Source organism: Homo sapiens, chromosome 9 (genome assembly GCF_000001405.40).
Source record: "Homo sapiens chromosome 9, GRCh38.p14 Primary Assembly".
NCBI classification, from domain to species: Eukaryota; Metazoa; Chordata; class Mammalia; order Primates; family Hominidae; genus Homo; species Homo sapiens.
The window spans coordinates 129,181,590-129,204,006 of NC_000009.12; the positions used below are offsets into that span (position 1 = coordinate 129,181,590).

The following is a 22,417-nucleotide window of genomic DNA, read 5'->3' on the forward strand; positions in this document are numbered from 1 at the left end:
GCATGTGTGTGAGAATGTATGTGCCCACGTGTCAGGAGAAGGTACCCTCAGATCTGCACCCCACGAAGGGGAATAGGCCCAAACGAGACAAGGATGAAGGGCTGGCCTTATTTCTCTGTACACCTGAGAAAGGTTGGGGATCTCACCTTTCCCCCTGGAGCTGGGGAGGTTACATCTGGCACAGAGTCACTGCTCCCTGGAGGAAGTTAATTAATGCCTCAGTATTTACCAAGTGTCTGCTGGGGCAGCATGGAGCTGGGGCATGGAACCGCTGGGGACCTGGGCTCCCATCAAACCCCAGGTGGTGTCAGCCCTCCATCAGAGCAGTTAACACTTCACAAGTGCACATATGTCTGTGGACACCTTCTGGTCACCCGGGCTTGGTGGCAGGGGACATGGTTAGGAAGGCCCCTGATCCACAGTGGGATTTGCCCTGTTGGCTCCCGGGGGTTAACTTGGGGAAGGGGTCCATAGGCAAAAAACTGTATTGGGGTGTTGTGTTGGAGGAAGTGGGAGAGAAACTTGGAATTCACACATTCATTCATTTTTCATTTGCCTGAGAGATACTTCCAGAATCCTTCTCTGGAGTCCCTGGGAATGGGTCAGGGAACAAGATGTGATTCTGCCTTCAGAAGGCCACGATTCAGAGGGAAGCAGACAAGCTAGATAGACCAGAAAATACTGAGAGCTAAGTCTGTGATTGGAAGGACAGGGCTGGAGGAGGGCAGGTCCAAGGTCCAAGGCTGGTCTGGGAAGTGAGAAGCTGAGACCTGGAGACCAGGAAGAGGGGGGATCTTCTAGCAGCGAGAACAGCAACGAAGGGGCCCAGCCAAAGGCCGGGTCCACAGTGGGCCCTGACCTGTGGCATGAGTGAATCAATGAACCTAAGGATGCAGACAACATTGCTAGTTTGAAGGGCCCTGGAGACCAGATTGACCCCCAGCCTCAATTTCCAGATGGGTAAACTGAGGTCTGGAGAAGAGGAGGGATGTGCTCTGTGTTCAAGACATGGGACCACAGCTGGGGTTGGAAATCAGACGTCTCACCTCCGGGTCCTGCCTCTAGCTGCCCTAGTGCACTGTGTCTCTGGCTGGGAGTGTGGCTTGTTCCAGAGGGGTGGGGACCGAAACCCAGGGCTTCGGGCAGTGGCAGGGAAGGCAGAGGGTGTGGCTGGCCACAGGGGTCACTGTTGAGTCTTCTCTTTCTTAGGCTGAGGAGCCAGTGGCGCTGTAGCTGGTGGACACTGGGGAACGAGGCTAGGGCTGCGGATCTGGGGTAGCCTCCGCTGGCCCCACAGAACTTGCTCCCTGTCACTGGCCCGGGTGGAGGTTAATGACCCCCGCCCTTCGCTGTTGTCTGTGTTTTCCTAGCATAGTCCTGGGCAATAGGCCTAGTGCCCAGAAAGCCACTGTGGCCCTGGCTTCAAGGACCTTAAGTGTAATGAGAAAGACTGACAGTGGTTTGGCTCTTCTTGGAGCTCTCGCTCTTACCAGGCACTGGACCAAGTCTCCCTGAATTTCCACACCAACCTTTGAGGCAGGTTCAGTTATAATTCCCATTTCATGGATGGAGCAACCGAGGCACAGAGAGCTTGGGTGAGTTGCCTGTTCACACCGAAAGGAAGGAGACGTCACAGGGCTCTGGGGGTGGGGGGCGGGGCACTAGGAACTTCGGGAGAGGAATGAGGCTCTTTCGTTTGTCGGTCCTCTGGGTGAATTCTGCACTTGTCCATGGAGTGTGCATAGGGTACAGATGTGATATCTCACATCTGGGGTCCCTGCTCCAGCATCTGGCAAAGGCTGCGTGTTCATTTGTTCATTCATTCATTCATTCATTCATTTATTCACCATGGGCTGAATGCTGGCTAATGTGTAGGGGCTGTGCTAAACTGTGAGGAGCAGGGCAGGCAGATGTCACTCCCCTGAGCCATGCTGAGGCATCCTTGATTCTTTGGAGCCAGATCTGATTGACTAGTGGTGTCTGCCTGGAGCCCTGGGTGCTCCAATTGATTAGTGATGTCTGCCAAGGGCTCAGCTGGAGCTTTTAGGGCAAGCCTGCTGGGAGGTGCTCTGGGGTGAGGATGGGGTGTCCTTCAGTGCTCTGCACATCTGGGTGGCCTAACAGATAGGGTGGAGACTGGGGGGATGGGGGCTGGAGAAATGGGTTCTAGCTTCAGATTGGCCTTGTTATCCTTAGGGAACGCAGATTGCTTCTCTCGGGCCTCAGTTTCCTCATTTGTCACCTGACTCACAAGTGCTTTGAACGTTGAGAGGCACTGTGAAGGGATTAGTACTGAGCTGAGACCGGAAACTTCCCCTGCCCTCTTTTCTCCTTTCTCAAGATCCTGCCTGGAGCTGAGCACTCTGGGCAGGCCAGAGTTAATCCTGGGCCGGGCTGGTGTGTGTGTGTGTGTGTGTGTGTGTGTGCAAGAGTGTGTGTGTGAGTATGCGTGTGTGCATGTGAGTATAAGAGTGTGTGCATGTGTGTGCACATGTGTGAGAGAGAGTGTGTGTGTGTGTGTGGTGGTGGCAGCTCAGCTTTCCTGGCTGAGTTGTTTATAACTCACTCAGTACAGACCTTTGTCCCTTCCCCAGCTCAGCTGGGAGTTTCTAAGGAGTGAGAAGCTCCTTGAGTCTTAGGAATCCTATAATTTTTTTTTCTTTTTTTTTTTTCATTTGAGTGGTGGGAGCTGGCGTACGTGCCTCTCTCCTCCCCACTCCCCACTCCATGAGTAATAACTGTAGACACCATCGTGTCAGGCCCAGGACAACGTGTAACATGTATTATTTGTCATTAATCCTCCAAAGGATCTCACGAGGCGATGGTACTGCATTCCCCCTTTCCCAGACTGAGACCTGGGGAAGTGAGGTTGCACACCTGGAGCCACACCTCTCTCGCTGCTATGTGGGTCCCATCCTCTGGTCTGAGCTTCATCCATCTTTGCCAGCTGTGCTTCGCCCTGGCTCTTTCCACCATTCATTCATTTCCTCACTTGCTCAGTGGTCCTTTCACAAATATTAAGTGCCTACTGTGTGCCACAGCAGCCCCTGCCATCGTGAGCCTCATGTGCAGGCATTCCAGATGGAAAAACAAGCAAGCAGTAAGTAAGCAGATAAATAAATAAGCTTGCGAGGAGGGGATAAGGGAAGTCAGCCAGGCTTGGGGTGGGGCCTAGAGGGAGGGGAGAGTGTCTGGCTCCCAGGCCTCCCACCACCGTCTGGTGCTCCCTGGTGGGCCTGTCCCCCTTCTCAGCTCCCAGACTCTCCAGCCGTCGGTTCTGAAGCTCAAGCTGCACTGGTGCCCCTCCTGCTCCCCACCCTAGTGAATTCTTAATGCTACTTGCACGGAACAAAGCAGTTTTGGTTTTCGTTTTGAGAGCATTTCTCAAAAAATCATTTCTCAAGTGTGTGTGAGGAGAGAGTAGGAGAGCACAGCGAACCCCGGCTGTCTGCCCTCAATTCCTCTCCCAAGCTCCTTTTCATTCCTGTTTAATTTTTTTGAAAAAATGGGGCCAATTAGAATTTCAGTTCCTGACCTTGTGTTGGTGAAAGGGCACCAGGCAGGGCCCTTGACATCTGTGTCCTGTGTCCACCCAGCCCCTTGGGGGCTCAGGCGCTGTCATTGCCTTCGTCATACAGATGAGGAAACTGAGGCATAGGAAGAAGTTTCCGGTCAGGGGCCTCCCACCGAGTGGCGGACTGGAGCGGGGCATGATCCATACTCAGACCTCTCAGCCAGCCTCTTTCCGTACTCCACACTGGCTAGCCCATCACACACACACACACAGACACACACACATGCACACGCACACATCCTACACATACACAAACATGCATGCACACACACGCACCCAAATGTACACATGCTCACAGAAACATACACAAACACATGCACACACCACACATGCACACACAGACACACAAACATGCACACACATGTGCACACACAAACATGATGCGCACACCCACACCCACATATACACATGCTCACACGCACACACACCCTGCACACACCACATATGCACACACATGCACACACAAACATGATGTGCACACAATGCACTCACATATACAAATGCCCACACACATGCACACACACACCCTGCACATACACAAATGCATGCACACACACAGACACACAAACATGCAAACACATGCACACGCACACACCCTGCACACACACACACGGCACACACACATCGTACACACACAGCACACACACGCACATGCACTCACACACACACTTGGGGCTAAGTGAGCTGCCCACAGTCACAATGCCGGCCTCAGGAGGGTAGAAACGAGGGAGGGCGCCTGGCCTGTGGCTTCAAAGGGGCAGAGAAGAGGAGGGAGAGAGATGTGCATTGGGGAGAGTGGAACCTCGTGGTTTGAGGAGGGGGCAGGGCCTTCTCCCAGAACTGACCCCAGAATGTGGCACAGTGGGTCTCTCTGTCTTGTGTCCCGGGTGATGGCCCCCAGTACCCTCTCCTTAGTTTATTTCCTGAGTACTTGCCGTGTCCTCGCCACTAAGTTTTTTGCTTGATGAATCATCTCTGTGAATCCTCCTGATAGAATCTGCAGCAGAGGTACTTTCATTACCACGCCCATTTCACAGGCCGGGAGGCTGAGGCTCAGAGAGGGTAAGCGACTGCACCTTAGACTGGCTTGTCTCCACAGCCAGCTTGCTTAACCCTGACACCTGGCAGGGGAGGGGCGGGGGGCAGGCACTTAACGGGAAGCAGAAGGTGGCTTCCAGGACTCAGAATGGAGGCGCGGGAATATCTGTGTAACCCTGACAATCCTCTACGCTGCTCTTGCTCATTCTTGCAGCCTGGTTTCATGGGTTCCTAGTGCTCTGCTCCGTGGCTGCTCCTCCAGGGACAGCTGCAATGGCCCAGCCTGGTGTCTCATCTTCCCTTCTTGCTGCCTTCATCCTTCCTCATGGCAGCGTCTCTCCTCAGTTCCTGATTTTTCTGCTTGGCAACGAGGACATCTTATTTATTTATTTTATTTATTTAAGAGGGAATCTCACTCTGTTGCCCAGGCTGGAGTGCGGTGGTACGATCTTGGCTCACTGCAACCTCCACCTCCTGGGTTCGAGTGATTCTCCTGCCTCAGCCTCCTGAGTAGCTGGGATTACAGGCGCACGTCACCACATCCGGCTAACTTTCGTATTTTTAGTAGTGATGGGGTTTTGCCATGTTGGTCAGGCTGGCCTTGAACTCCTGACCTCAAGTGATCTGTCCACCTCAGCCTCCCAAAGTGCTGAGATTACAGGTGTGTGAATTACAGGCGTGTGAGCCACCACACCCGGCCCAACGAGGACATCTTTAGTCCTATTGCCTCATTCGTAAGAAAATGGAAGGGATTTTTATAAAGGGCTGTGTGAGATGAGCTATGCTTTGTTGCAGTAACAAATAATTCCTGCTGGACAGTGTGGTTCACCCAGCTACTCTGAAGGCTGAAGTGGGAGAATCTTTTGAGGGCAGGAGTTCAAGACCAGCCTGGGCAACATAGTAAGACCCCTGTCTGTAAAACAAAAACAAACTTCCTGCATCTTTGAGGCTTGATCCAATGAAAGTCTCCTTCTTTCTCTTTTTGAAGGATGTTATATGGGGAAGCCCTAATTGGCATCCCTCCCTTCCATTGGCCAGAGCTGGGTCATGTGTCATCAGCTAGCTGCAAGGGAGCCTGGGAAATTTAGTCCTCAGGTGTGCTCCAGGACTGGCAGCCCTATTTCTCCACATCCAAATGACCTGGTTCAGTGAATACACAGCGTTGCCACTGACACAGGGCCTTGAACAATGAAAAAGTGGATCTTTGACTGGTTCATTGATCACAAAAATAAGCTATGATGCTCTCAGCTGGTGGTAGGGGTGAGGGCATAGTGGGCACCTCTCATCACACAGCTACTAAGAAAATGTTTATTTTTTAACCTGTCTGTCCATCTCCCCCATTAGACTGTAAATTCCCTGAGGACAGGTCCATAAGTCTCTGCTTGGCAGCTTCCTTAGTCCTTGACAAATAATAGATGCCCAATTAGTATTTTCTCAATGAACAAACATTGCCTTCTTGAAAGGATTTTGGTGAACAACTGTTTAGCTTCTCATGCATCAGATGTGTACAAAAATATATTTTCACATCACAGCAGTCTAGCATGAAGCCCTTTTTTTTTTGAGACAGGGTCTTGCTCTGTTGCCCAGGCTGGAGTGCAGTGGTGTGATCGTGGTTCACTGCAACCTCCGACTCCCGGGCTCAAGAGATTCTCCCGCCTCAGTCTCCTGAGTAGCTCGGAATAAAGGTGCACGCCAGCATGCCTGGCTAATTGTTGTATTTTTTTTTTTTTTGGTAGAGATGGGGTTTTGCCATGTTGCCCAGGCTGGTCTCAAACCCCTGGGCTCAAATGATCTGCCTCCTTAGCCTCCCAAAGTGCTGGGATTACAGGCATGAGCCACCATGCCTGGCTGAAGGCCCTCTTTTAAAAAAAGTTTTAATCAGTCTTGTCCTTCTGCTAAGGTTGAGCACTGCTGTTTAATCAACAAGCATCATTCTTTTATTTTTCTTGAGACAGAGTCTTGCTCTGTCGCTCAGGCTAAAATGCAGTGGTGCGATCTCGGCACACTGCAACCTCTGCCTCCCAAGCTCAAGTGATTCTCCTGCCTCAGCCTCCCAGGTAGCTGGGATTACAGGCGCCCAACAACATGCCGGCTAATTTTTGTATTTTCAGTAGAGACAGGGTTTCACCATATTGGCCAGGCTGGTCTTGAAGTCCTGACCTCAGGCGATCCACCCGCCTCGGCCTCTCGAAGTGTTGGGATTACAGGCTTGAGCCACTGCACCCGGCCCCATTCACTGTTGATTCATTCACTGATTCTTTGATGACTAGAGGGATGGATCGATTCACTCCTTCAGCGGACATTTGTTGAGTATCTACTATGTCTGATGCCCTTTCCAAGACAGAAGAGAAGGGGAAGGGACAGTGGCTTGCAATATACCCACAGAGACGGGGTTTTCTAATTGTCTAATGAAATCGATAATATTTAATTCTATGAAACCACAGCTTGATGGTCTCACCGTAATATCATACACTGAATTTAATCTATTCTAAGTCACCACCTTCCTCCCATATCTAACATCTCTAAAATTGAGAAGTGTCTTACCATTGATAACACCTTCGATTTGGCAAAGTCAGGCCATTATACTCATTGGACTAGTTAACGTTTATCTATCTATCTATCTATCTATCTATCTATCTATCTATCTATCATCTATCTATCTATCTATCTACCTATCTGATGGAGTCTTGCTCTTGTTGCCCAGGCTGGAGTGCAGTGGCGTGATCTTAGCTCACTGCAACCTCTGCCTCCCGGATTCAAGTGATTCTCCTGCCTCAGCCTCCCGAGTAGCTGGGATTACAGGCGTGTGCCACCACACCCCGCTAATTTTTGTATTTTTAGTAGAAACGAGGTTTCACCATGTTGGTCAGGCTGGTCTGGAACTCCTGACCTCAAGTGATCCTCCTGTCTTGGCCTCCCAGAGTGCTGGGATTACAGGCGTGAGCCACCACGCTCGGCCTGTTCATTTACTTTTTTATAGCCTAAGTGAACACTGAGATAATGAACATTTACAAGGCAGGCATGACATACAGCATGCCCCATCATCTCACACTTAGTGACTAGTTAGTTCTGTCCCTGTGTTGGTTAGGGCGGCCTATTAGGGTCACGGAGAGGGGAAGGGAACCATTGTTTCTTTCGAACTGAGTATATATTTGGCAGTGTGCTTGTTCATGACACAAGATTTTTAAAAACACCCCACCAAGCGCTTGTATCATCTCCATTTTACGGGGGATTTTAAGAGACCAGGGCTTTGCTGGAATCCCTCATTGGAAGAGCTGCGGTTCCAACCAGTGCTGCCCTATTCCGGAGCCCATACTCTGAATCACCCTCCACTGCTGCGTGCAGATGCCCACGCTGGGATGCAGTCGCCAGCCCCATTTCGAAAGAGGGAACTGAGGTCCACAGAGCTCACCTGCTCTTCTTAGACTCACAACGTCAGAAAGTCATAGGGCTGGGGTGTGAACCCCAGTCTCTTATTTCCCAGAACCCAAATGCTAATGGCTCTACTCTCCTGCATCTGGCTTCCCCAGGGCCTTAAAAATGAGGCTGGACTGACAGGGGGAGGGTCCTGAGACCAAGCCTGGAAAGGGAGTCTCTTTGAGCCCTTCTGTCTTTAAGATTCGGGATGAGGATGCCCGGGGCATGCCCGCCATGCCCACTAGGTTAGTTTTGGGCCAGAGGGAATCAGATTCTGATGAAGCTGAAAAGGCAGCTGATAAAATGAGTGACAGCAGCCTTTCTTACAGCATCAGAGGGGCCCGGTGATGGGAGGCGATCCTTGTGAACATTTTAGTGGGACTTAAGCAGTTTTGGAAACTCCATAACTAAATTTGATTGTAAACAAGCATGAGAATAGGCTGGGTGGGGTGGCTCAGGCCTGTAATCCCAGTGCTTTGGGACAGCAAGGCAGGTGGATTGCTTGAGGCCAAGAGTTTGAGAGCAGGCTGGGCAACATAGCGAGATCCCATTTCTACAGATAAAAAAGACTTAAACAAGGCCAGGTGCGGTGGCTCACACCTGTAATCCCAGCACTTTCGGAGGCCGACGCGGGTGGATCACGAGGTCAGGAGTTTGAGACTAGTCTGACCAACATGGTGAAACCCAGTCTCTACTAAAAATGCAAAAATTAGCTGGGTGTGGTGGCAGGTGCCTGTAATCCCAGCTACTCAGGAGGCTGAGGCAGGCGAATTCCTTGAACCCGGGAGGCAGAGGTTGCAGTGAGCTGAGATTGCGCCACTGGACTCCAGCCTGGGCGACAAAGCGAGACTCCATCTCAGAAAACAAACAAAAAACAACAACAAAAAAAATCCAAAGACTTAAACAAAACTTTAAAAAATGTGTATAGCTCTGACAGTAGGCTTTGTGCTGAACTCCCTGGCATGGGTTCCACCTCTTCTCTGTTGAGGAAGAGTCCTGCGGTTTAGGTGGTATTGGCCTCACTCCCCAGTTCCAGGACTGGCAGCCCCATTTCCCCACTGGGCAGGAGTGGGACAGAACCCAGGTCTAAAGACAACCAACACAGAGTTTAGGTACTATTTGATTCCTATGAGGTAGGAATTTCCATCAGCTCCATCTTACAGATAAGAAAACTGAGACTCAGGCTGGCTGCAGTGGCTCACGCCTGTAATCCCAGCACTTTGGGGGGCTGAGGCGGATGGATCATTTGAGGTCAGGAGTTTGAGACCAGCCTGGCCAACATGGTGAGACCCCGTCTCTACTAAAAATACAAAAATTAGCCAGGTGTGGTGGCGCATGCCCGTAATCCCAGCTACTTGGGAGGCTGACGCGGGAGAATTGCCTGAACCAGGGAGGCAGAGGTTGCAGTAAGCCGAGGTTGGCCACTGCACTCCAGCCTCGGTGACAGAGTGAGACTCTGTCCCCCCTCCAAAAAAAAATGTGGAGAGGAGACACATGGAGATGACTTGAATCTAACCCACAGCTTGGAACGTGGTTTGGCTGATTCACAACTTGGAACAAAACTACCCAGTTGAGCCCAGGCTAGACCAGGCAAACTGCAGTCAACTTACAGACCCATGAATGTGAGAATAAATGTTTGTGCAGGCCTTTGAAAATTTGACATTGTTACACAGCATCCTTACGGCAAAAGCTGACTGGTACATAAATATTAAGTGACTTGATTAAGGCCATACATCTGATTTGTGGAAGAGCCAGAGTCTAGAATTTTGGCCTCCTTGGACTCGCCAGCCAGCGCTTATCTGGATGCTTCAGGAAAGGCATCAAATTGCAACCAGTAATGAGAAGAGCACCGGAGGTGACACTCCCTGTAGGCATCGGGGCTTTTTCTAGCTTTCTTTCTTTCTTTCTTTTTTTTTTTTTTTTTGGAGACGGAGTTTGGCTCTGTTGCTCAGGCTAGAGTACAAGGGCACAATCTCGGCTCATGCAACCTCTGCCTCCCAGGTTCAAGTGGTTCTCCTGCCTTAGCCCCCCGACTAGCTGGGATTATAGGCATGGACCACCATGCTGGGCTAATTTTGTATTTTTAGTAGAGATGGGGTTTCACCATGTTGGCCAGGCTGGTCTTGAACTCCTGACCTCAAGTGATCCGCCCACCTCAGCCTCCCAGAGTGCTGGGATTACAGGCGTGAGCCACCGTGCCTGGCCGTAGCTTGCTTTCTTTGTCTAATGGAGACAGTAAACCTGCTGTACAGAAACACATCGCTGACTACTCTTTGCATTTCATCACCATAGGCAAGTTTGGAGATGGATAATTTTTGGAGGGAAAACTATTAGTAATTTTTCTGTTGTATGAGCTTTAAGGAAATTTGGCAAGACAACTACAGGTTCTCAGAAGTTTTTTTTTTTTTTGAGACAGAGTCTCACTCTTTCACCCAGGCGGGAGAGTGGTGGCGTGATCTTGGCTCACTGCAAGCTCCACCTCCCGGGTTCACGCCATTCTCCTGCCTCAGCCTCCCAAATAGCTGGGACTACAGGCGCCCGCCAACATGCCCAGCTAATTTTTTGTATTTTTTAGTAGAGATGGGGTTTTACTGTGTTAGCCAGGATGGTCTCGATCTCCTGACCTCGTGATCCACCTGCCTTGGCCTCTCAAAGTGCTGGGATTATAGGGATGAGCCACCGCGCCCAGCTGGTTCTCAGAATTTTTTTGCCTTCTCAGAGGCTGTTTAATTGGTAAGCCAACTTTCTGTTTAAAAAGTCTCTTTCTTAAAAACGTGATACATTTTAGATGCATTTGTGAATATGAATTGTCCTTTGAGTGTTGCTTTGGCTGCATCCTATAAGTTGTAGTATGCAATACTCTCATTTTATTTAATGTCCAAATAGGGTGAAACATCAAAATAGTATGTAATTTTTTTTGAATCCCCTCTTTATTTCAGGAGTTATTCGGGAGACGGTTTTCAAGTTTCCACCAAGTTAGATTTTTAAAAATAAATTTCTGTGTGAGGTTGAGGTGAGAGGATCACTTGAGGCCAAGAGTTTAAGACCAGCCTGGGCAACATAGTGAGAACCTGTCTCTACAAAACATAAAAACTTAGCCAGGTGTGGTGGTGTGCACCTGTGCCTAGCTACTTAAGAGGCTGAGGTGGGAAGATTGCTTGAGCCTGGGACATTGAGGTGGCAGTGAGCTATGATGACACCACTGAACTCCAGCCTGGGCAACAGAGTAAGACCCTATCTCAAAAAAATTAAAAACCATCACCACCACCACCAACAATCAATCTCTAGCTGTTAATTTAACATTTCCATTTCATTGTGTTGAGAATGTATCTTATTTAGGAACCCATTGAAATCTTCTTTGTGCCCTAATACCATGATAATTAAATGTTCTGTGGGATTATTATTTTCAAGAGTGCAAGTTTTTGACAGCTCTGAATACCTGCAAATACTTGCAATCCAAGGACTCCCCTCTGCTTCCTGGCATCATATACAAGGATTTGAACTGAAAATTGGGGGGACATTTGTTTTAAGAGAAAATTCCCCAAGTTCCAGCCCAGCCAGGTGTCTGTTTCTGCTGGTGACTTTGGGCTCTTCTGAAGAGCTGGGTTTTGTTGGTTGGCTCCTGTGGTGTTGTTATAACAAACATGAATGAGTCCTGCAAACAGGAGGTCCAAATGGAAGAAGCACTTAATTAATATTTGACTCCTGCTGGGCATGTTTAGGGGTGGGTAGAGGAGGCTGATTTTTGGTTTTCTGGTTTATTCACTTTTCTGCTTTCCCCTCTGCTAATTACTGCATTACGCTCTCCTCTTTATTGATACAATTTGCATTTTAAAAGTGATCTGGGAGATGCGGAAAGACTATTTGGCCACAACGAACTTTTCACAAATCAAATGATCCTCCCCAGCTTCTTGTACGGGCAGTTTCCTGGTCTGCACAGCCATGGCCTCAGTGCTGCGGCCCCATTAGTAGTTTGGTACACCTGGTTGAGAGCGCGGCTCTGCCAGTGACTAGTGTGGAATAACAGTCACCAGGGTTTGCTGGGTTCTCACCTGCTGCTAAGCGCTCCCATCTCATCGCCTTCATGGCTCTGCTGTGGGGGTGGGACTTACACTCCCCCATTTTCCAGGGAAGGAAACCGAGATTTGCACAGGCTAAGCCAGTGCTTCTCAGACCTGGCTGTGCCTCAGAATCACAGCAGGGCTTGTTCATGACACAGAGTCTCAGGAGGGAGGGCCAGGTCACACTGACCCAAACTTGAGTCTAATCCGCACTTCCCTCTTGTCCTCCCTGTCACCTAGCACTTCCTGCCTCCCAGGGGCAGCTGGGGGTTCTCTGAGTTCCAGAAAGAGGGAGACATGGGAACAGGTGAGGACGCAGGGGACAGAGCTGCCTCACGTGCCATGCTGGGGCCCCTCGAGAGTACCCACCTCATTCCCTGCTCTCCCTGAGGTGCCCTGAGACCCGACTGAGCCTCAGCCAGCCTCTTGTCTCCTCTCTCAACATCCAGGGTGGCGAGACTCCAGCCTCCCTCTCTCCGTCCCTCCCCAAGCCCTGCCTGTGCCATGCCCTGAGGAAGACTCTGGAGGAGTGCATGGTCTTATGGGGGAGACAGTGTCTCGGGTGAGCTGCCTCTACAGTCAGCCTTTCCCCACACTCAGAGGAGAGCACCCAGGAGCCAACTCTCAGCCCTCCTGTGGGTTCTTTGTGCCTAGAATACAATCCCCTCTCTGTTCCCAACCCTTCAAACTCTCCCCTTCCAAAGCTGCTTCCTCCAGGAAGCCTTCCTTGATCTCCCCGTTAGAACCATCCACTGTTCTTTGTCCCTGTGACTGTGAACATCTCTGCTTAGCAAACATGTCATGGATCCAGGTTCACACTGGTGTCTGTTAATCCTGCTATCCTCCCCACTCAGTGGCCAGCTCCTCCTGGTAGGCGAAATCAGTGGTGGGGGCACCCACTTTGGAGGCAGAAGGACCCAGGGTCTGGATCTGGGACTGCCTCGGGCATTTTTCCCTGGGGAAAAATCATTCTCTTCTTGTAGGTCTCCCCTTACCTACCCCCGACCTGACTTAGGGTAGCAGCTAACTGCCGCTTTATCCCTTCAGCTCTCCCGTCCTGGTGCTGCCACATGCCCACCCTGGAAATTCAATGGAGTTATTTAACCCCTGAGCCTCAGTTTCCTCATTTGTTAAACAGGGATAAGAGGAGCCCACCCAAGCTGGTAATCCCAGAACTTTGGGAGGCCAAGGCAGGAGGATTATTTGAGACCAGGAGTTTGAGACCAGACTGAGCAACATAGCAAGGCCCCATTTCTACAAAATAAAAAACTAGCCTGTAGTCCCAACTACTAGGGAGGGTGAGGTGGGAGGATCGCTTGAGCCCGGGAGTTCAAGGCTGCAGTGAGGTATGATTGAGCCACTGCACTCCAGCCTGGGTGACAGGCAAGACCCTGACTCTAAAAAACCAAACCAAACAAAAAAAACAAATAAATAAAGTAAAAAAAGAAGAGCACTTGTGTGACGGGGTGGCATGAAGATTCAGAGAGACAGCGCATGGCGCTTGGCACGAGGCACCCGTCAGTGCCAGCCCTCCTCCGATAGTGACCAGTCCCCAGATTTATCAACCCCCCACCCCATGGCATTTGGATTTGAAGGTGAGAGGAGCCCTCCTTCCCGTACCCGAAAGAAGAGGAGGAAGAATCATGGGGTTGCTGACCCTGAATCTGGCTGCTTCCCTAAAAGACCGTCCACAAAGACCACCAAGTCCCACACACTAACTTCTCAGGGAAACTGAGGCCCAGAGAGGGGGGGGCACTTGCTCAGGGTCACACGGTGTGGCCCTGGAGGAATCCAGGCTCTGTAGGTCTGATAGAATCATGCTGGCACTCTCCCCTTTGGGGCTGAGTTTGCAGTTCAGGTCTGGAGACTCCGGGCCGCAGGGCACCTCAGGGGTCTGTTCTGCCGCATCGAGCCCTTCACTCCTGCATTCAAGCATGTTTCTTAAGTGGCCGCTCTGTGCTGGCCCCTCTGCTGACGGTGAGGGTCTCCGACGTGGCCTGGTGATGAGTTGGGATTTGTGGTTAGCTGCGACTCACAGAAACCCAACAATGATGACTTGAGCGGGAAGCACACGGTGCTGTGGGAGGCAGTCAGGCCTGGGCAGCCTCTGGAGACGCCCTTCTGGCCACCTAGCACGTGGCTTTCCTCTTTGTGGCAGAAAACGGCTGCTTCACCTCCAGCTCTCAGGACAGCATTCCAGGCAGGAAAATTGGGGTGGTGATTGGGAAAGGGTGAAGGGCAAAGTACAAAAGGCCCCTGCCAGGTGAATTCCTCTTTTTTTCAGAAAAACAATTGATTTCCTGGTCATTCTTAGCAGGAGACTCCTAATTTCATCTCATTGCTAGAATTAGGTAAAGCAGCCCAGCTAGCTGCAAAGGAGTCTGGGAAGTGAGTATTTGTATCTGGGCATATTTGCCCACTTGAACAAAACAGGGTTCTGTTAGGAAGGTAGCTGGGGACAAAATGGACACCGAACTGTCCAGCAGCGTTCTTACTCAGCGAACAGGGTTTCTGCCCTCAAGGCGCACCCACATCTGCTTGGCCACATACATTTGGACCTTTTTGCTGGAGCACGAAGTAGGATGTTGCTGGCATGTGCCCTGGAGGGATGCCCAGCAGTCTCCTACCATCTCCAGAGGGAGTGTCCTGTGCCCAGCACAGTGCCTGGTGCGTGGTAGGGGTCCAATCAATATTTGCTGTGACTCAAGGGAGGAGTTTCTAGATAGTAGTGTTTCTGGTGCATTTTCCATGACCCAGACCAGCTTTAAAAATTTTTTTGCATTGTATTTATTTATTTTATTTATTATTATTATTTTCTGAGACAGTCTCACTCTGTTGCCCAGGCTGGAATACAGTGGCATGATCTTGGCTCACTGCAGCCTCCTCCTCCTGGGTTCAAGCGATTCTCCTGCTTCAACCTCCTGAGTAGCTGGGACTACAGGTTCACGCCAACACACCTGGCTAATTTTTATGTTTTTAGTAGAGACAGGGTTTCGCCATGCTGGCCAGGCTGGTCTCGAACTCCTGACCTCAAGTGATCCGCCTGCCTTGGCCTCCTAAAGTGCTGGGATTACAGGTGTGAGCCACCGCACCTGGCCTTTCTCTTTCCTTCCTCTCTCCCTCCCTCTGTCTGTCCGTCCCTCCCTTCCTTCCTTCCTTCCTTCTTTCCTTTCTTTTGAGACAGAGTCTCACTCTGTCGCCCAGGCTGGAGGGCAGTGGTGAGATCTTGGCTCACTGCAACCTCCGCCTCCCGGGTTCAAGCGATTCTCCTGTCTCAGCCTCCTGAGTGGCTGGGACTATAAGCACATGCCACCACCACGCCCGGCTAATTTTTGTATTTTTAGTAGAGACGGGGTTTCACCATGTTGGTCAGGCTGATCTCGAACTCCTGACCCTGTGATCCACCCATGTTGGCCTCCCAAAGTGCTAGGATGACAGGCGTGAGCCACTGCACCCAGCCATTTTCTTTTCTTTTCTTTTTTTAGAGACAGGGTCTTGCTGTGTTGCCCAGGCTGGAGCAGAGTGCAGTGGCGTCATCATGGCTCACTGCAGCCTCGTCCTCCCCGGCTCAGGCAATCTTCCCATCTCTTGAGTAGCTGGGACCACACGTGCATGCCACCATGCTTGGCTAATTTTTAAAATTTTTGTAGGGGCTGGGTGTGTTGGTTCATGCTTGTAATCCCAGCACTTTGGGAGGCCAAGGTGGGTGGATCACTTAAGGTCAGGAGTTCAAGACCAGTCTGGCCAACATGGTGAAACCACATCTCTACTGAAAATACAAAAAATTAGCTGGGCGTGGTGGCGGGCGCCTGTAGTCCCAGCTGCTCAGGAGGCTGAGGCAGGAGAATCGCTTGAACCCAGGAGGCAGAGGTTGCAGTGAGCCAAGATCTCACCATTGCACTCCAGCCTGGGCAACAAGACTGAAACTCCGTCTCACAAAAACAAAACAAAAAAATAAATTTTTTGTAGACAGATCTTGCCATGTTTGGCGAGGCTGGTCTCAAACTCTTGGCGTCAAGTGATCCTCCGCCTTGGCCTCCCAAAGTGCTGGGATTACAGTTATGAGCCACTATGTATGGCCCAGTCCAGCTTTTGTATTGGTTTACATGAGGCTTTTAGTTTGGATCTTTATTCAATGCCTCTTCTGTGGATGAGATGGTGTGGGGTACAGAGGCAGGGGTGCTAAGACCAGCCCCTCCTGCAGGGAGAAGGCCACGATCCTCCCTGACTCTTGTGGGGGCTTCCGTAATGCCCAGTACTGAGTCCCCTACCCTGGGACCTGTGCTCTGCCTCTGGAATGGAAGCCACTCTGTAACCCCTAAAACCAGAGAAATTGGCAGCTGCTCCCTTGGCTGAGAACATCGCTGACTCCAAGTGCCCCAGTGCTCTCCACTCATCATTTCACAGACGACCCTGAGGGAGGCAGGGCCAGTGCGGCCTCATTCCACAGACGAGGAAACAGTCTCGGCCACTTGGCCAAGGTCCCAGAGCTTGTAAGGAGCAGATCTGGGATTTGAACCCAGGTCTGTTCAATGCCAGAGTAACTGCCCTCTGTCCGGGCTGGCTGACACCACCCGTCATTTATTAGGCAGCAAATGGTTATCCCGTCCTCTGGGCTTAGGGCTTATGGCTGTGTTTGCGGGGTGGGGATGGAGTGGGAGGCGGGAAACATTCCTAGTGGTGGGAAACCAGATGTGGGTGCAGGGAGAGACGCTGGGAGAGGTGCCAGGTGTCAGGGGCCACGCTGTGACATCTCCTCCTGGTGGAGGGTTCCAGCCCAGGGCAGGGGACGGAAGCTTCGGTGGCCCCTACGCTGAGCCTGGCATCTCTCGGGTCTCCTAGTGCTTAGAGCTGACACGGGGATCAGTGCTTGGCTGGCGCTTGCCAGAGGCAGTGTTTCTCTCCTTCCTTCTTCCCTTTTTTTCTGAGACAGTGATCTTGGCTGTGGCGCCGAATCCGCTCTATGGGAAAAACTTGTTTTTGTCGGTAAACTCGAGCGTTATGACTCAGAAGACACCCAGGGAGCAGCCTCGTGGTGTCAAGGGGCCGCTCTGCTAATGAGCTAATGCTTAGGAAGTGCTTTGAAGACGAAAAATTCCACACGAGGGTTGAGGGTGTGTGCTGTTATTTGGGGGAGAGGGTGAATAGGAGGATGAAGTGGAGGGAAAGGGGCAAAATCTTGCTAAGGAACAGCCCCCCGAGACCCTCGGGCTGCGCGGCAAGGCTGGCTTTGCGTGTTGCTGATGCAGGCGTCTGTCTGGGCAGAGGCACCAGCTGCCCCTTTGTTCAGAACAAGGCAGATCTGAACTGGGTGGGACACGCGGCTTTGATTTAGTTTTTCTTCCGGGGGAGGGGGCGGGCTGGGGTGGGAAGGGATGGGACTTGGGTGACTCCTGTCGTCTAGCCTGAGATCTTCCAGTCTGGAAGCAGCTGCTGTCATTCATTCATTCAACAAACACATCGACCTGCGCCAGGCATGGGCCATGGAGCAGGAAACGAAGATAGTCCCTGTCCTCTTGAAGTTTATGGCCTGGAGGGGGAGATGACATCTAACAGATGAAGACGTCAACCACCTTGCAGTTAGAATTGTGAAAGGGTGGCGGCAGAGAGACACCTAAAGTCATGGGTGCGGGAACCACAGATGTCCCAGCCCAGGTCTGGGAGTGCCAGGAAGGCTTTCCCAGGAGGAACAGCTCAAAGGAAAGAGTGGGGGTTTCCAGCTCCCAGGCAGAGAGACAGGACACATCAGCAGAGAGATTGGCATTAATTAATACACTGAATAAATGGCCGGGCCTGGTAGCTCACGCCTGTAATCCCAGCACTTTGGGAGGCCAAGGCGGGTGGGTCACCTGGGGTCAGGACTTTGAGACCAGCCTGGCCAACATGATGAAACCCCATCTCTACTAAAAATACAAAAAATTAGCCGGGCGTGGTGGTGGGTGCCTGTAATCCCAGCTACTTGAGAGGCTGAGGCAGGAGAATAGCTTGAACCTGGGAGACAGAGGTTGCAGTGAGCCAAGATCGCGGGACTGCACTCGTCTGGGTGACAAAAGCGAAACTCTGTCTCCAAAACAAAACAAACAAAAAAGACACTGAATAATTCATCCAGCAAACCTTTATTGAGTACTTACTATATGCCACACACTGGGGACACAGAGGCACTCAACACAGGCAGCCGGACTCCCTATGGAGCTGCCGTTCTGTGCACCAAGCAGATGAAGAAGCAGGTAGAGAAAGCAGCAGACAGCAGTAAGGAGTGGTGGGGAAAAGAAACCGACTCATGGGGTAGAGGGGCCTGGGGAGGCTCCTACAGATTGTGCGGCAGAGAGGGAAGGCGTTTTTCAGGACGTGGGGTTTAAACTGAGACCGCCAGAGTGGTAAGGAAGAGCCAGCAGCCTCTAGCCGGCCCAGCCAGTGCAAAGGTCCTGAGACAGGAATAAGTTCAGTGTGATCAGAGAACTAAGAGAGGCCAGCGCAGTGGCGGGCACGCAGTGAGCCCCAAGGAGAGTGAGAATGCAAGTTCTGCAGGGGTTCCTCGTGAAGGGCTGGCTGTGTAGCATAAGTATTACGTTCATTGTAAATAAAGAAACTACTAATACAGGGGCTTATACAGACAGAAGATTTTGCTTTAGCCAATGATAAGCCTTCGGTGGGTAGTCGGGTTGGTGTAGTAACTTACAGATGGCACGGCCACCCCTGCTCTATCTTCCCTTTCACTGTCTTCAGTGTGGAGGCTGTGTCCTCACAGTTGCTGCCTCATGGTCACAAGATGGCTGCGGCACCTCCGGGCCTCACATCCATGTTCCAGGCAAGAGGAAGGAGAAGGAGCAAAAGGCCGAAGAGCAAAGAGTGAGAGGGCCTTTTCCTTGCCAGCTCCATCTCTTTATTCAGAAAGGGAATTGCTCCTCAGGGACTTTTGTTCTAACTTACTGGCTAGATCTGGGTTACATGGCCACCTTGGACAGCAAGGAGGCTTGGAAAATCGAGGTTTTCTTTTGTTTGTTTGTTTTGTTTTTGAGATGGAGTTTTGCTTTTGTTGCCCAGGCTGGAATGCAATGGTGCAATCTCGGCTCACTGCAACTTCTGCCTCCCGGGTTCAAGTGATTCTCCTGCCTCAGCCTCCTGAGTAGCTGGGATTATGGGCCCCTGCCACCATGCCTGGCTAATTTTTTATATTTTTAGTAGAGATGGGGTTTCACCATATTGGCCAGGCTGGTCTTGATCTCCTGACCTCAGGTGATCCACCTGCCTCATCCTCCCAAAGTGCTGGGATTACAGGCGTGAGCCACAGCGCCTGGCCCCCAGAAAATCAAGTCTTAAAATTTTGCTGGTCTCTATAGTAGAAGGAGGAAAGGGAGAAGAGCTTGGGTTGACTTTTGGGGTGCAATCCTAAAGGCCTGCAAAGGCCCGAAGGAGGGAAGGCCTTGGTGAATTCTGGGGACAGAAAGCCCCAGGGGTCAGGGGCAGGGGTCAGGGTGAAGAGTGCAGACTTCATCTGGAGGACCGCAGGGAGCCATGGTGCGTTCAGATTTGCTGAAGCTGCTATTTAAACTGAGCACTGGAGACACGTCACCGAGGGAGGCCCATTCCCTGCTCACCTCAGAGACTTGACGGGGGCATCCTCAGGGCTCCGATGAAGCCCTGATTCCTTGGAGAAAGGCTTGCAGCCCCTCTCCTTCCTGGATTGCACACCTCCAGCCCTGGCAGCCTGTCCCCTGGTTGGCACCCAGCAGCAGGCCACAGATGGCTTCTGGCTGTCCCATGGCGTCGCATCAGGGCATGCAGCGGATAGTGACTCACACTGGCACCTCTTCTGCTTGGAAAATGCCCTACACATCCATCATCTTTGGTTTTTCTGCTAGAACGATGGCATGAGGTGGGTGTATTTTTCACTGATGGGGAACAGGCAGAGACGCAAGCTCCCTTGCTTGAATGAGGACTGTGCTCGCCCTGCAGACTCTGGAAGAAGGGCTCCATGCTCAGCCCGCACTGGGCATCTCTGCCTGCCTGCTCAGGGTAGAAGGGCCACTCTCTTAGGGATGATTCAAGGGTCTTGGAGGCCCTATGCGGTCAATCTTGTTTTCCTGCCACATCAAGGGAGTGTGCAATTTTCGAGGCCCCGAGCCCTGTGTTTTCACTGAGGGCAGACATAGGGCATTCGCTGTCTTTGCCCGTGGAGCTGTTCCTCACACTAACCATGCAGGGCTGGGTGGGAGACATGTATGGGGGGTGGGGTGGGGTGGGAGGGGGCCAAGAAGACATGTAAGACCCGGGGCCCTGTCCTTGGGAGTTTAACATCTGGGTGGGCCTCCTTGGACCAACTTCCTCTGATCTGCTTGTGACTTCGGGAAAGTCCCTTCCTGTCTCTGGGACAATTTTTTTTTTTCTTTTTTTTTTTTTGAGACAGAGTCTCGCTCTGTCGTCAAGGCTGGAGTGCAGTGGCATGATCTCGGCTCACTGCAACCTCCGCCCCCTTGGGGCAAGCGATTCTCCTGTCTTAGTCTCCCAAGTAGCTGTGACTACAGGTGCGCACCGCCATGCCTCCCTAATTTTTGTATTTTTAGCAGAGACAGGGTTTCACCATGTTGGCCAGGCTGGTCTCGAACTCCTGGCCTCAAGTGATCCACCCACCTCGACTTCCCAAACTGCTGGGATTATAGGCACGAGCCACCACGCCTGGCCTCTGGGCCAATTTCCTCATCGGTATAATGAAGGGGTTGGCAGGGCTAGTTCTGAATTTTCCCAACCCACCCATAAAATTCACCCTTCAAATTCTAAAGATTCCATTCCGTGGTCTAACTCTGTGTGTCTGTCCTTGGTTCCAAAAGTCCCCGTCCTTGTGGCCCCTGTTGTTTTGGACCCATCACAGGTAATTATGTATTTGTGTGATTAAACATCCCTGGCCTGTCTCCCTGCCTGGGCTGTGTGCTCAGCAAAGAACCATGCCTGTCTCTGTCTTTGTCCTTTAAGAGATCAGCACAGGGCCTAGCGCATAGTAGGTGCTCACTAAATACTGTAGCAGCTGGTATTGTTGGGAAATGATGCTGGGAGAGGCTGCTGCTGGAGAGAAGGGAGCCACCGACCGCCCTGCAGGCAGTCAGCGCCCTCAGTCCCTTCCTCCTCGCGGGCCGCAGAGGCTCCCCTTTCCCCGAGACGATAAGAATGCCCAGACGCCCCAAAACCCAGGCCGCGCCCCTCCGGGTAGAACTACAGTCCCCAGAAGGCCGCGAGGGGCGGAGCCACCAGCGCCCGCCCCGCCCGGGCCCGCCATGCCGCACAGCATCATGGGAGTTGTAGTTCAGGCCCTGTCCCCCGGGCAGCCGCTGGCGCGGACGTTCGCGGAGCAGCCCGGCGCCCGCGCGGCTCACGGGGCCCTAGGACCCCTCCCCTGGGGGACCTCCACCCTCCGCAGGCCTTTTGAATTAATCCTACTGCGCCGGGGACCCCAGGACAGTTCTGTCGCGTACTCCCGGGACCCTTTAAGGGGCGGGGCTGGGATCCTGCCCCACCCTTGACTCCCCCACCCTCCTCTCTCAAACATCACCCCGGGCGCTTTAAAACGCTTGATCTCGCTGGAACCTTTTCGGTCTCCGTTAGCCACACCTTGATTGTCGAGTGTGTGTCTGGCCCTTTGGGGACAGCGCTTAAAGTCGGGGTGGGCGGGGGAGGGGATCACCGACATTCAGTCTTGAGTGACACACCAGATGACCCCACCGGAGAGGAGGAGGGTGGCACAGGGGCCTGACGGACCTGGGGTATGGGCAAGGCTTCCAGGGGCCGGTGACATTCAGACTAGGCCTGGGTTGGCCAGGGCAGGAGCAGGGAAGGGTGTTCCAGTCAGAGGGAACAGCATGAAGGAGGGCTTCGAGGCTTTAGGGGAAGCAAAAGAAGGCCTGGGAGGCTGGCAGGCAGAGAACGGCTGGGGAGGGGCCGCTGGGAGGGGTGGAGAGGTGAGTAGGGCCCGTGGGAAGCACCTGGCGAAGAGTGTTTCTGATCCCCAAATCCAGTATGCGTGCCGGGTTCTCGGGCAGAGTGGCCAGGCGGAACGTGACCAGGGTTCAGTGGCAGAGCCTGGAACCAGCCTGGGGGTCCTGCTTCTCAGGCCCCGGCGTGTCCTTAGGGGAAGGGGAAGGAGACTTCCCAGGGCAGGGCTGCAGCAAGAGCTGGCACAATGCCATCCTCAGGGGGCACAATGCCCCCTCAAATCCCAGAAGCAAGGGGTTTGAGGAGGGAGTATGGGATATATGGGGAGGAGCAACATCCCTGCTGCTTGGAGGGGGAAACTGAGACCCTCACAGATTTTTGCTGAGTGAGCTTCTGTGAGGTC

General features: G+C 52.1%; 1 long non-coding RNA gene across 1 annotated transcript in view, besides 3 other annotated features; it reads left to right on the forward strand.

Moving 5' to 3' along the window:
• Positions 1-181: 181 nt before the first annotated feature.
• The window catches only part of LOC105376289 (uncharacterized), a 27,937-nt gene continuing 5,701 nt past the window's right edge, over positions 182-22,417 (forward strand). The window contains exon 1 of the long non-coding RNA XR_007061813.1: positions 182-1,595. This is a non-coding gene — a long non-coding RNA (uncharacterized LOC105376289). The remainder of the gene's footprint in view (positions 1,596-22,417) is intronic.
• Positions 21,201-21,495: an enhancer, noted in NCBI's record as "tiled region #2152; HepG2 Activating DNase matched - State 4:PromP, and K562 Activating DNase unmatched - State 1:Tss". NCBI's record gives its function as "activates a minimal TATA promoter and a strong SV40 promoter by Sharpr-MPRA in HepG2 and K562 cells {active_cell/tissue: HepG2 | K562}" and the evidence as "EXISTENCE:reporter gene assay evidence [ECO:0000049][PMID:27701403]".
• Positions 21,201-21,658: a biological region, named in NCBI's record as "Sharpr-MPRA regulatory region 2152".
• Positions 21,249-21,658: a silencer, noted in NCBI's record as "silent region_20369". NCBI's record gives its function as "represses an Ori minimal core promoter by ATAC-STARR-seq in GM12878 lymphoblastoid cells {active_cell/tissue: GM12878}" and the evidence as "EXISTENCE:reporter gene assay evidence [ECO:0000049][PMID:35858748]".